We start from the raw sequence: 14420 nt of genomic DNA on the forward strand, positions 1-14420 counted from the left end.
TGGCTCCACTACCAACTGGATGATCCTGAGCAAATGACTTAATCTCTCTGGACTCAAATGAAAAATGGGGCTGCAAGGTCTTCTAATTCTCACTTCTACTCTCCTTCCTTGGGCAGCCTGGAAAGCTTTCCAGACTCCCTTGCAGCTAGGGCTCTGGCTGGAAATAAATTCCACTAGTCATGGTTCTTGTGAGAGGTCTATAAGGCAGAACTGAGGGACACCTTCTTCCTCCCTCTGAGGTTGCTGGTAAACTTGGTTGTGGTGAGTTTAGAGGCAGCCAAGGAAGATGGTCACTAGCTTCAAGGGTGGGAGAAGTAGTCGTGACAGTAGCTCTGGTGGCAGCTACAGCAGCTTCCTGATAGCTCAGCTGTGTGATGTGTCCACATATCCAACTGCTCATTGTCACCCCCCTGCACATGCTCCTCCAGCCCTAACCACAATCTTATAAACATTTGATTCCCTCTATGAAAATCCTCTTTTGCTTGAAATACTTAGAGTGACTTCTGTTTCTTACACTGAACTTGACCAACACGGGGTGATAATACTGCTAATTTTTCAGGATCATGAGGATTAGGCAAGCTATTAAATGTAAAATACCTGTTGCAGAAGGAGCGCTCAGTCAATAGTAGTCACTAATCATTACAAGAAGACTAACTGTGTACAGAACCAGTCCTGTAAATTGCATCTTGCTGCCCACCAGTGTTAGCAGGATTTTTTCCCACTTTGGTTTTTCCAAGCAGTCAGCAGGCATCTACAACAAGAAGAAAATGATCCTTGGCTAACGTTGCTTTCCCCTTGTGTTCTCGCCAACAATTCATGTTGCCTTAAGAGATTAGGCCTCTTTATTGCTTGCTTCACTGCCCCGCTAGCTGTCTGCACCAACGTTACATCGTGGCTGGCTGGGCGTGTCCTTCTGATGGACTCCAGGCCTGCTGCACAGAGAGCAAGGGGGTTATTTGATCTCTTGGCTGTGGCTCTTACAAGTCCCATTGAGAGTGCTCTTACCCACAGAACTCTGCTTTGCTAATTGTCCCAGTGTAGCCAAATAAGCACAATTACACCTAAAGCAATGAGCATTTCTTCTGGCAGGATTTGGGATTTGGAAGAGAGCAGCCTCTACGGGGGCTCAGGGGTCAGCTCTGGGTACCACGCAACCCTTCCCAGACCCTCAGAACCCCCATGACTAATGGGCAGCTGATACAGGGTTATGAGGAGGCATCCCCCGCTTCCAGAGAGATTTATTACTCAGCCTGGACCAGAGTCCTGGAATATAAGAAAATCCCTCTATTTGGTGTCTGTCAAGATGGGCCCGAAGCCTGGTATCTTCCCCTCTGAGTCCTGTTGCACAAATTGTGTTGGTGGGAAGGCAGGGAAGTTGTTCTTCCACCCCTGCCTCAGATGACTTTATTAAAAAGCCAGTTGGCACTTTTCCTATTGCGCATTCTCATTACAGTGCTTCCAAAAAAGTGAAGTTATCCCACAAAGCCGACTCATAAAATTATTAGACCCTGGAGAGATGTTCAGACTCAATCCCTTTCACCAGCGAAAGCTTAATGAGAGTGCAGCCCTGCCCATGGGCTTCCACAGCACCATTGTCACCCACACTGGCCCGCTGCCCCGCTCACGCAAGCCTGCCTGCAGCCTCGCAACTCTAAATCCAGTCTTTGCAGCCCCCAAACTCTTCAAATTCACTTCAGGACTATGGAATGCTCTCGATGGGCCACTGAACTCAGCATTAGCAACCAGCGTTTGTTTTTTAAAAAAATGAACTCTTTGAAAAGTGACAAAAATCCCCTTCTCTTTACCCTGGGTCCCTGTCTCTCTGCTGAGTGCTCTGTTTTATTGACAACAGAGTTCTCCAACTTTAGCGTGTGTGAGAATGATCTGAAGAAAACAACAGTGAGATTCCACTTCGCACCTACTGAGACGGCTATACAGTGAGTCCTCCCATAATGTCCATTCATCCAATGTTGCTTCGTTATAAGATTGATGAGAAAAAAAAACAATCAATTCCGGCCTGGGGCCACTGTCTGTGTGCAGTTGGCACATTATCCACATACCTGCGTGGGTTTTCTCTGGGCACTCGGGTTTCCTCCCACATCCCAAAGCTATGCACATTAGGCAGAAAAAAAAAAAAGGAAAATAACAGGCATTGGTGAGGATGTGAAGAAACTGGAACCCTCATGCATTGTGGGTAGAAATAGAAAATGTTTCAGCTACTATAGAAAACAGTATGGCAGTTCCTCAAAAAGTGAAACATAGAGTTACTATATGACCCCGCAATTTCACTTCTAGGTATACACACAAACACAAAAAGGAAGGCGGGGACTCAAGTAGATATTTGAACTCTAATGCTCATAGCAGCATTATCCATAATAGCCAAAGGGTGGAAACATCCCAAGTGTCCATAGAAGGATAAATGCATAAACAAAATGTAGCGTGCATATATACAATGAAATATTATTCAGCCATAAAAAAGAATGAAGTTCTGTTACATGATACAACATGGATGAACTTTGCAAACATTATGCTGAGTGAGCTAAGCCAGAGACAAAAGGACACATATGGTATGACTCCATTTAGATGAATATCTAGGCTAGGTAAATTCACAGAGACAGAAAGTAGATTAGAGGTTACAAGGGCTGGGGGAAGGGGAAAACATTATTATTTAATGGGGATAGGGTTTCTGTTTGGGGTGATAATGCTGGAAACCGGCCCAGCGTGGTGGCTCACACCTGTAATCCCAACATTTTGGCAGGCCGAGGCAGGCAGATCACCTGAGGTAAGGAGTTCGAGACCAGCCTGGACAACATGGTGAAACTCTGTCTCTACTAAAAATACAAAAATTAGCCAGGCGTGGTGATGGGCACCTGTAATCCCAGCTACGCGGGAGGGTGAGGCAGGAGAATCACTTGAACCTGGGAGGCAGAAGTTGCAGTGAGCCTAGATCGTGCCACTCCACTCCAGCCTGAGCAACAGAGTGAGACTTCGTCACACACACACACACACACACACACACAAAATGTTGAAAACAGTGAAGATGTTCGTGCAACAATGTGAATTGTAATTACACTGACTTGAATATTTAAAATGGTTAAAATGACATGTTTTATGTTTTATATATGTATATGTGTATATATATGTGTGTATATATGTATGTATATGTGTATATTGTGTGTGTGTGTGTGTGTGTGTGTGTATTGCCTGAAGAGCTTATTGAGATTCTGATTCCTGGCACTTGCTCCCAGATTGGTTGAGTCAGGAAGTCCAGTGTGGGGCCCCAGTATGTACCTTGTTAACAAGCATCCGAAGTGCCTCTGATGTAGGTAATCCATGGCCACTTTAGAAATACAGATAGGGTATGCCAACTGGCTTTCTTGCACAAAACGAGAAAACAAAACAGTTCATGCTGCTTTTCAGAGCTTGTCCTGAAAGCAGAGCACTTTCCACACTGCGAGGAGGAAGGTATGCCACTCCATGCAGGGTCCAGGGGCTCACTGAGCCCCAGTGAGTCTGAGAGTCTGGATGGGCACATTAGTTTATCCAGGCTGAGTCTGATTATGGCAGTCTTGGGGTCAAAGGACTAGCAGTGACTCTAAAATCAACCCGGTGGCCCTGAGATCTGGGGCCCTGCAGTGCCATCTACCCATCTCTAGGGCGGCCTCAGAGCCCTGTCCTGGTTCCTTCTCCGCCCTGCATTTCTCCAGCCAGCCTCCTCTGCTGGGTCCAGCAAAGGCCAGAGGCAGGAGGTGACTCTGGGTTCTGGTTTTGTTGAAGATGGTCGTGCCTTAATGATGAGAGAGAGATGGTTCTCTCTCCCTAATATTCCCAGTGCCAGGGTCAGGTTTGTACTTCTTCCATCAGTGGTATATGATCTCTCTTCCAGTATTCTACTCCCAGTAATCGGCACAATATATTGTATATTTTGAATAAATTTTTCCTTGCCTGTAAAGTAAGCAAATTACTAGACTATAATAATGTCTAGTAATAATTACTAGACTAAAGTAATGAGACTGTCTTGGGCAATTATGAAATATCTTCTGGGCTCATCTTTGAGAATGTGTGCCAGTGTCTTCTTGCTGCCTGGCAACTCAGGTATTCTTTGAGATTGGTTTGCACTTTCACCCTGAGTCCCTTAGACACATTTTCAAAAACTATTCTAATATGTCCCATCCAGGGAAAAAGACAGAAAAGAGCCTGGCCTAGAAACTCAAATGTAAGTACAGGTCATCTTCACAAGCAAGGGAGGAAAGAGGAAGGGTCACTTTCATCCTACTGATTTTTACTGAACCCCGACCAGGTGCCAGGTCTGGACCAGCCCCCTGGGAAATGGAAGTGAACAAGACACAGACCTTCCCTGGCCTCTACCTGCTGGATACTGGTAGTATCCTCTCCCCAAGCCAGACATTGTGAAATGTCCTCTGGGGAGAGGCAAAATCCACTCCGGTTGAGAACCACTAAGTTAAAGCATGATGTGTCCATGTGGTGGCATAGTATACTCATCAGGATAGTTTTTAGAAGTCATTAAAGATGTGTACAAAAATCTTCACAATATGACACAAAGAAAAAAGTTAGATCTATAATTTTACATATAAGAATAATACTAAAAGTACCAAATATACATACACAGTACATGGAAAGAGGTGGGAAGGAAATATAATAAAACATTATAAGAATTAAGCTGGATGGTAGGATAAATGACATGTTTCCAATTTTCTATTGTAAAAAACATTTTTTCAATAAGGATCAATGTTTTATATTTATTTTATGCATTTTTTTTGTTGTTGCAATTTTTAAAACCAGGCGGGTCTTGAACTTCTGGCCTCAAGCAAGCCTCCTGTGTCAGCCTCCCAAAGCTCTGCAATTACAGGCGTGAGCCACTGTGCCTGGCCCAATGTTTCATATTTATTTATTTGTACATACAATGTTGCTATGAGCCTGACCATTTATTTTAAGGAAATTTATTATTGGATATAACAGACATACAGAAAAGTGCACAAGTCATAAGTGTGTGGCTCAGGGGATTTCACTACGTGGTCATACCCATGTAGCCAGCACCAAGATCAGGGAACATCACAGGCGCTCTTACCTCCAGTGTCAACTTCCAGTCACCACCCCCCAGGGCTGACCCATTTCCTGATTTAAACTCCAGAGATTCTGTTTGCCTATTTTTAAGCTTCATATAAATGGAATCACACAGTGTGAACTCATTTGTGTCTGGCTGGCTTTGCTCAACATTGTTGAGCAATGTTGTTACTGTATGTAGTTGCAGTAGAGCACGGGTATGGATCATTTAAAAATCATAAAGCTATTTTTAAAAGAAGGCAGATTTGAAACCCTGGGACACTTTTTGCTTCCTGGGGAGCGCTACACAGTCCTTCTGCTGGGAAGTCGGCCCATGGCCTCCAGCCCCATCTGCTGCCCTGAAGATCCCAAACATTCTCTTGTGCAGTTGCTTCTGCAAAACTAAGGAGGATTTGTGCCAGTACTCCTGACCCTGCCGGCTCGCCCACCATCGCCAGTGATATGCATTTGGGCCCCTTGACAAGGAGGCCAATCAGATAGAATGGAGAGGGGGACATATGTGTCTCACCATGGTGGTGCCGGACATAAGGCTGACAGGAAGTGGTGTCCAGCAGGGGTTCAGATCCTCCTGAAGGGAGGGCCATCTCTTCCTGCTCCCGTGGTGACTGTCGCTGATAGGCCACAGGCAGAGAAGCAGAAGCTCTCTCTCAAAGGTCGCCCCATCTGGCCCTGGCTCATCACATTCCTCAGCGTAAAGCACCCTCTGCCCTTGTTCTCGTTGCAGCAATCCTATGAGGGTTAGGGCTAGGGGGGGCTACAGTTATTTTCCATTTTGTGGACCATGAGGCTGAGACTGGGGAAAGTCAGCCTGCAGAAGGGCACAAGCTGGGCTTCGTGTCCAGGACTCCATGACTCCCAAGCCCGAGTTCTTACCCCTGGATATTTGCCTCTAAAGGCCACCTCCCTGTCCCTCCCATGTCTGGCTGAGGTTGGGAGATGGGGGTCGTGACTCAGTCTCCGGTGATGGGCTCAGCCTGGCGAGCTGCTCCCAGCCAGCTGTGTGGTCAGGCAAGTCATTCTCCCAGAAGATGCTGCAGTTTGTTTGACCATAAAGTGGGCAGCTCAATACTTCTCTTCTTCTCACGCCAAGCCCCTCCTCCCCGAGCCTGCAGGAATCTCTGGAAAAATGTTCTGGAAAAACGGAGGCATTTTTACGACTCTCTCCTCACCTAAACCCGCTGCGCCAGGACAGAGCCCAGACCCTCGGGCTCTAACCGTTATCCTACACTTTGGACCCGGGCAGCCCCTGCCTTTGATGTTGTCTTGCTAAATGTCCCCGAGTCACTGGCGGGCTCTGATCTCTCCAGCACCTAATAATTCAGTCTGAAGTAGTGAGCAGCTAATCAGCTGGGCAACTCTTGCAGCTGCACAATGAAGTTGAAGGGAAAGGGGGTCCCTTTCATTCTTGGGGTCTCATTCTACAACCCGATGGCCAAGGCAGACAGCACCGTCCGCTGGCCAGGGGGTGGGGTTAATTCCTGCAAGGACCTGGGTGAAGGTCTGCCTGGCCAAGGCAGCCCGTTGCAAGGTTTGAATCATGGCTGTCTCAGCTGGGCCATCGGGTGGGAATTAAAATTTAATTTAGAAAGTCCTGTCTCTGCGGCCCTGGTGGCCGTCGTCTGGGTGATTGACTGGCTGGTTTCTTTCACCTTTGCACGTCTTGGGTTTTTACTGGCAGAGGAAATGAAGGCTGAACTGGGGCAGGAAATTCCATGTACACAGGTGTTTCTGATTAGCCCCGTGCACCTCACCCAGGGGCACAACCAGGGGCTGAGATGCCTGCATGAGCCCATGGGCCCCTCTCTGGCTTGGCAACTGTGGCAGCTTTGCATCTAGGGAAGGCTGGACAGGGCACTCACACCGTTGCAGGGCAGACAGAGGTGCCAACCAGTGGTCTGCTGCCTGGCCCTGGGAACCCGGTGACATTCTGCCATGGACACGAGATCACACAGCGCCCTTGGCCAGAACCACCCCAGCCTCTGTGTCTGCAGTGGGCTGCTGGTGGCACCAGGGCCTGACCTGGAGATTAGCATCGCCCTGAGGTGTGTTTACACATTGTAGCTGGCGCTTCATGTGGCTGACCTGCCCCCATTTTCACATCTTCAGAGGGGCTTAGAGATCCAAAAACCACCTCCTCCTTTACTTAAAGGGTCTCTGGAGGGGTCGGGGAGGGCAGCCCTGGGCTTGGCTCAAGATGGCCATCTGTAGCAGTGGTTTCAGAGGCTGAAGAAGCAGCTTTCTTCATCCCATACCAGCTTTTCACTGCCACTGAAGCATCCCACCATTGTTATTCACTGCCATGGGTAAAGGCACTCGGGGCTCCCGTTACACTTAGAGTATACCTGGAGGGAGGGGCATTCCAAGAAATGGCTCATGGAGACACACTGGCTGGCTCTGGGCAAATGTCCACTCCAACCCTACCCACCTTGGTTTTCCCATCTGTAAAATGGGCATCATAGGAACAAAGTCTGCTGGATCAGCACATGGATTAATGAGATAGTCTGCAAAACATCAGGCACATAGAGGATCCACAAAGCATGCAGCCCCTGGGAACATTCTCAAGGGAATTGTTCCAAAGAAAAAGTATTTGATGAATACTTTGAAGTATTACATTAACCATTGCAAAAACATTTTAACCAGTTAAAATGCTCATTGGTTAGTTATAGACTAAGGTGTATTGTGACATAATAATGTGTAACCAATAAGCTCAATATGACAAGGATGGAGCCATATGAAATTCCAAGAAATAACTGAGGAAAATGAGTCTGTGTAGCCTGATTACAACTGTGAGAAAGTGTGTACCCTGAGGAAGATTGGAGGGGCATGTAAGTAAATGTTTATTTAAATACATTTCAGTTATCCACGTAGTTAAATGCATATTAAAACACGAAAATTAAATAAGAGCAGAGACAGATATGAATGTGTCTAAGTTATCAAGTTCCTACTAGGAGAAGACTCCATGTCATCAGTCCAGGACAGAATGTATGTGGTCCCAAACGCTGGAGAAAAGCCTGTGGCTGAGCTTTTGCCCCGTAGGGAACACGGAAACAGTCAACAGAATGCATGTGGCCACCACACGAGGTTCTGGACTCAGACTGGGCATCCTGGGGATCTTGGAGGCTATGGGGCTAAGCCACCGTCATAGTAAGCCCCTTTTAACAGCCTAGGGCCTCATGTCTCCCCCTGCCCCTGTCACCTGGAGAGAGACCTGGGCTCCTGAGGAGGGGCTGGGAGTGGAGCCTCACCCACATCCTCAGGACTCTGAGTGACACTCTGCTGACCCTGTTAGCTGCAGAGTAAGAGAAATGTGTTTTCATTGCTGTTACGAGTTTCCAGGCTGGGCAGCGAGCAGCCCCTTTAGAAAGGACCTCTTGTTCTTAGTGAAACACAAATAAATGTCTGTCGTGTGGGGCTATGTGAGCTGGGAGGTGGAGGGGGCTAAATGGAGAACTCAGAGAGCTGGCTACCTTGTCCCTGGGCCCCTGCCCAGTGGGCAGCAAGGCATAGCCAGGGGCTGTCCCTCTCTCTCAGCAGACGGCCCATCCTTCAAGGTATGACTTCGTCCCTGCCCCGCTCAGAAACCCCTTCTGCCCAGACCAGCCTTTGTCAGGTTGAGCTCAGAGTCCTTCTGGAATCTGGATGTGGTCCTGGGTCCCTGGAGGGCAGAAGCTGGGCCTCACCATTTCTGTGCTGCACCCGCCACAGCCCCCACACCCAAGGCTCTCAGGATGAATCTCGGTACATTGCGACTGAATTGCCGTGGATGAAAATAACGGTTGGAATGGCAGCAGTGGCTTGTGAATTTCAATTCCTCTTCTAAAACCACTTGCAGATATTTCTGCTGCTTTCTTCCCCTCTCCCCTCCCCCCTCTTCCCTCCCCTGAAACAGGAATTATGAGACAGTAACGCACACTCCTTTTGCATTTGCGGCTCCTCTTGTGGCCATCGGTATGGTTCCTTCAGGGACTGAGCCTGCTGTGACTCACTTCCCAGTCCCCCAGGCCCCAGCAAGCACCATCAGATAGGAGGCTTGTCACCTTGGAGGGAAGGGGGCAAAAAGATAATTTCCAAACATTGAGGCCTTAATGTCGGTCAAGCACGGTGCAGAGTCCTTCACAGGCACCCCCATTTTATCCTCCCAGACACCCTGTAAGACCTGTGATACTCCTGTTTCACAGAAAGAAGAAACTGAGGCTGGGAGAGGTTGAGCTCTTGCCTAAGGTCACAGAGCCAGTAAGTGGTAGAGCTGGGATCCAGACTTTGGCTGTCTGAGACCGAAGTCTAGGCTTTTCTTTGCTCTAAATCCCTCAACTCAACTTCTCTTTTGTCTGAGGAATTCTAGGAAGTGTTGGTTCTGTTTCTCATCAGTGGGGCCTGATGCTCCCCATGGTCTCTGGGCACTTGCACGTCATCCCAGAGGCAAACCTTGGGTATGCAGAGCCTTGTCCCAGGGTCCAGGATGTTCAAGACCAGCTGGAATCAGATGCCTTCTGGCTCCTTGCCCTGCCACGTGGAAATGCCATTTGTAGTGAGCCGGCTGTCGTTGGAGAGCTGCCTTTAGGTGCAGTGAGTCAAAGGACCACATGGAAATACTTTAGCCTGAGGCGGCGCTAGGAGCAGCCCTGGCTTGTAGCCATGAACGGCAGCAGGTCCAATAACACTGAGTTCCAGGTATGCATGTTGCCAAGAAGGGAGAGCAGTTTGGAGACCGACCAGCTCCTCTGGCTCATGCAAAAGCCCCTACACAGTGCTAGGCACGTGGTGCTCAGTAAACATAGGTTCCCGTTCTCTGTGAGAGGAAGGCCTTGGCCCTGTGCACTGAGTGTCCTGGTAATGGAATGCTCTACGCTCTGGCTGTCTTGGGCTGGGGGAAGAGGGAGAATCTACACCAGGAAACCATAGGCTCCTGAGGTTGAATGCAAGTTGCGTGTGTTCCTATGTGCAAAGAGAAGCCATAGCTATCATTTTCTGAGGTGTCCAAGACCCACAAAAAGCCAAAGACTGCACTACCCGAGAGACTGCAGCAGGAATGAGTGGATTAAGCCATTCAGCATGTCCAGACATACAAAATCACTGGGGACAGCTGGCTGAGGGAGACAGGCCAAGCTAGCACACGCATGTGAGGAAGAGGAATGGGCACTCAGGCCAGGCCAGCTCTCTGAGCAAAATGGAGCTCCTTCACGCTTCCCTTCCCGGCCTGACCACACAGGCTGCAGAGCACAGGGGCCCGCTTAAGGCCTTCAGGGAAGATGGCCTCCCCCAACATCATCTGTGAACCTCATCTCCAAGCTCAGAGCTTCCTCCCAGGTGGGGTTGCCCCTTCTCAGAGCTCCAATTTCCCCATCAGCCTTGGGCCGTATATCTTCCCCTTCTTTCTACGGGCTGCTTTATAGCTTGCTGGAAACACCTTCCCTTAGCACTTCGAAATGTATCACTTGAAAGCATCTTAACGTTAATCAATGTGATTCTTTTTTAATTTGAAGGGGCTTATTTCTCCAAATGGCTTTCCTGATCTTATAGGAGGGCATGCTCTCTAATATTAAACTTTTTCTTTAAAAAGAGCAAAAAAAATGACTCACATCTGTTTGATATTTAATTCAAATTGAATGGCAGGACAGGAACGAAATTACACTGCAAAGGGCCATAAAGCGTGATGTTTAAAAGAGCCAAGCATACCAAACCTACATGCCAGAAAATTTGAAATGACAAAGGATTGAGGGGGTGTGGCCTGGGCAATGGAGTATCTCCTACCCAGAAGCTGGAGGGGAAGTAGCCAAGCTGGGGGAAGGTGGGAGGTGGGAGAAGGTCTCATTTTGCACGGGAGGACTTTGTGGGGGCTGGTTTCCAGCCACATGTGAGTTTGGGGGTCTGGGATCTGAGCCCCAAGCAGAGGTCCTGGAATCCAGTGCTGGCTGCTCCATGTTGCGGGGCGGGGTGGTGGCCTGTCTGGGGATCTCCAAGGGGCTGCTGGGTAACGCTGCATGCAGCCTGGGTGGTCAGCCAGGCACTGTCCAGCTCTCGGTGTCCAGGAGGCCTTGGGGTTTGGCTACAGCTCAGAGAATTGAGTTTAAAGCCCTTCTGCTGCCTTCTGATCAGTTTAGCAGAGACACCAACATCCTGTGTCCCAGAGGGCAGAGAAATGGGTGGATCTCAGAGAGCTGTGTTTTCCTCCAATCTTGGAAGGAAGGCACCCTCTGAATGTCACTGTCCCCGAGCTCTGTGACAGAAGTCCTAGGAAAGAAGTGAGTGTGACCTCTTACTTAATATTCCCTTAAAGCCAGAGGGCCAAGTCCAGGCCTGGCACAGGCACTCCAGTTGTGAACCGTGTCTGGCGATGCCTGTAAGGTGAGCTTTGACAGTGGAGTGCAGTCAGAGCTTGTGTGCTGGTGTGGGCTGCCCCTCACCAAGGCCACGAAGGGAGGGGTGGAGACAAGAGAGGGGTTTAGAGTAAATCAAATGCCAGCTGAGTGGGCTTGGCCTCCCTTTCCCTCTCTGATCCTGTTTCCTCATCTATACCATGGAATGGTTTAACATCCTCAAAGTTATTTTAAATATCTAGTATGATAAATATAAATGAATTCACTTTTAAATAACAAAATATTGTACGTGTTTCTTAGAATGGTAACTCTGGCCTTTCCAGGGCTTCTGCTTAGGTACCAAGTTTATTTCCAAGACATTAACTTGTTTTTCCAGCCAGCACTTGAGCACAAGGGTCTGGAACTTTTTCCATGCAGTGGTGCGCTGGAACTGTCTCACAGTGTTTGATAAAAGCTGATTGTTAAATGATTAAATTATATTTAATGACTCATTAAACTGTTAAATTTTTAATGTAACTAAGTTATTAACAATTATATGAACTTATGGCAAAATGATATTAAATACAAAGTGAATAAATAAATCAAAACTCACTGCTTCCTAATTATTTTACTATACCTTACTATATCTATGGCCTTGGGGCTATTTACACTGATTGTATCTGTGTGGTGGGAATGCCACATGATGGTGGGCTTACTGTGTGTCTCTTTCCAATTCCACATTCAGTGATGTCATTTTGATACCTTGAAGTTGACTGTGGTAAGACAATTTACATCACGGACATCAGCAAACACTACAATCAGAGCGCCTCTGCCACTCAGAGAGCTGCTAAACATTTGTCAGCACAATTCTGTCTGTAGAGATGGGCAAAATGAAGTGTGCAGAGCTCCTGGTGACTTTCTCAGAATCGCTCAGCCATGCTGAACGTCTTCCTTTCAATCCAGTGCTTTCTTCATCAGACTTAGCTGTTCCAGCCTTCTCAGGAACTTGTGGCCAGCTCTTACGGCATGCATCCCTTTATCCAGAACACTCTGACCTTCCCAGCATGCTCCCCTACCATTCCTCTAGTGGGGTCGCTTCTCTGCTTCTGTTTTCCTCTGAGCTAAGCCAAAATATTCACTCCGGTGTGTAAAGCGGGCTGAGAATCTCAAGTGGAAGTATTTTCCCTTTCTATAACTGTGGAGCAAAACTCACAGCTCATAATTATCATGTGGTTTTCTAACCAACACTTTACCTGGGGTGCTTGACAGAGCCCAGAGGCAGGTGTGTGTGTGTATGTATGCATGTGTATATACATGTGTGTGTGTGCATGCAGGTATGTGTGTATGCATGTGTGTATGTATGGATGGATATGTGTATGCAGGGGTGTGTGTGTGTGTGTGTATGCGTGCGTGTGTGTGTGTGTGTGTTGGGGAATGGAGAGGGGAAGGAGAAGTCAGACCACATGAGGCTTTCTGATGTTTTGGCTTGAATTCTGCACTGCAACCACAGACCCTGTAGGCCCAGGGGAAGAGGAACGTAAAACTGAAAGACAGAGACCCCCGAGGATTAGCTTCCTGCCTTGGCCTCCAAGAGTGTCCACAGGGGACGACCATGTGTTTCCCAGTAATGAGGCCCAGCGCTGGATCTGGAAGCCTCTAACGTCAAGCTTCCAGCCTGCCTGCTTCTAATACTCCCGGGGCAGCTCTCCAAGTTTGGGAGCTCTGGACCTTGTGCGTGTATTTCTGAGTGGGAAGGGCTGGGTGGTCGTGTCACACCAAGGAGACGAGGCCCATCTGGAAACAGGAAACCCTGTTGGCAGGTAGCAGAGGGATGGGGTGTGGGGCCCTGCGTGGCCCTGCTGGAATTTGCCATGGGCTTCCGGGCTCAGGGTCCCCTGGATACCGTGGTTCCATTCACTGAGCAAGACCGCTGACCCTTCCTCTTCTCACTCAGGGCACTTATTTATTTAAAATATATTTTCCCCTTTTTGTCAGGAGCTGTATTGTGGTTTGACTGAGGTTCTTCTCAGAGCTTTGACCCTAGTGGTCTGCTTTCACCCCACCCAAATTCTTCCTCTCAACTCTCTCTCCTGTCAAGAGAGCCCTGACTGAGGACCTACTGTGTGTAGGTGGCTGCTCACCTACAGACATGTCCAAGACGGCTTCTGCCACAGGCAGGGCTCTGCCTGCCAGTGGGAGGTTCCAGCCGACTGGCATGTGAAATGGGCCCAGCCCTGCACCTGGCACACTCATGTTGTGTTTTTCATCTTCACAGAGGTGAGATAGGTACTCATAGTATCCCCATTGTATAGGTGAGGGAAAAGTGGCTTGGGGGAGGAAGGAAGTTTCTGGATTCTGTAAGTGGAAGGCAGTGGGATTTGGGCCTGTTGGCTTCCTGAGGACAGGTGTCTCTGCCCTGCCCTCTGCCTATCTCGGGAGCTGGTGTTCAAAGCAGGGCATCTGGGTGAGTTGTGTGTGGGTCCAGCCAGGCTGTACCTGGGTCTTCTCTGTGCTTCATCTGTGGTACTTGCCCTCCTCCCTCCATCCTTACAGATGCTGAAGGTCACATAGGTTGGGGTGACAATGATGGTGGGGACCTATGTTTGCCCCTCAGGAGTCCCTGCAGGGTGGAGTCCTCTGTGGTGTGGCCTCTCCTTCCTGCTCTCCCTACTTGGTGGCCACCCCAGGGCCCCAGGCGAGGCTGAGGGGCACTGACATGGCCATGGTCTCTGTACTGGCCATTTGGCTGTTTGTCGTCAGGACCGTGATTCTCTCTTTCATCCCCTGCTCTGTACTGCGGGGAAGTTGACCCCTGGAGGCTGCATTTCTCAGGCTTGCCAGTCAGCTTTCCTCTGGCTGGCTTCAGCCAATGGGGTTTGGGGGGCCAAAGAAGGAGAGAAGCCAACGTATTCATTCCTCTGTCAGCCTGTCAAGTGGAATCACCTCATCAGCTGCTGGCGGCAGCTGCCTCTCCTCTGTGGCTCCTCTCCCTCTAGGTCCCAGCTACCATAGGGGGCCTCCATGGTATTCTAGCCCTGG

General features: G+C 48.8%; 2 annotated features.

The window, feature by feature from the left end:
* Positions 5275-7820: an enhancer, noted in NCBI's record as "VISTA enhancer hs1473". NCBI's record gives its function as "enhancer in: limb[8/9]" and the evidence as "EXISTENCE:transgenic organism evidence [ECO:0001131][PMID:17130149]".
* Positions 8645-8804: an enhancer, noted in NCBI's record as "active region_23172". NCBI's record gives its function as "activates an Ori minimal core promoter by ATAC-STARR-seq in GM12878 lymphoblastoid cells {active_cell/tissue: GM12878}" and the evidence as "EXISTENCE:reporter gene assay evidence [ECO:0000049][PMID:35858748]".

The sequence above is a fragment of the Homo sapiens genome, chromosome 5 (assembly GCF_000001405.40).
Source record: "Homo sapiens chromosome 5, GRCh38.p14 Primary Assembly".
In the NCBI taxonomy this organism is placed as follows: Eukaryota; Metazoa; Chordata; class Mammalia; order Primates; family Hominidae; genus Homo; species Homo sapiens.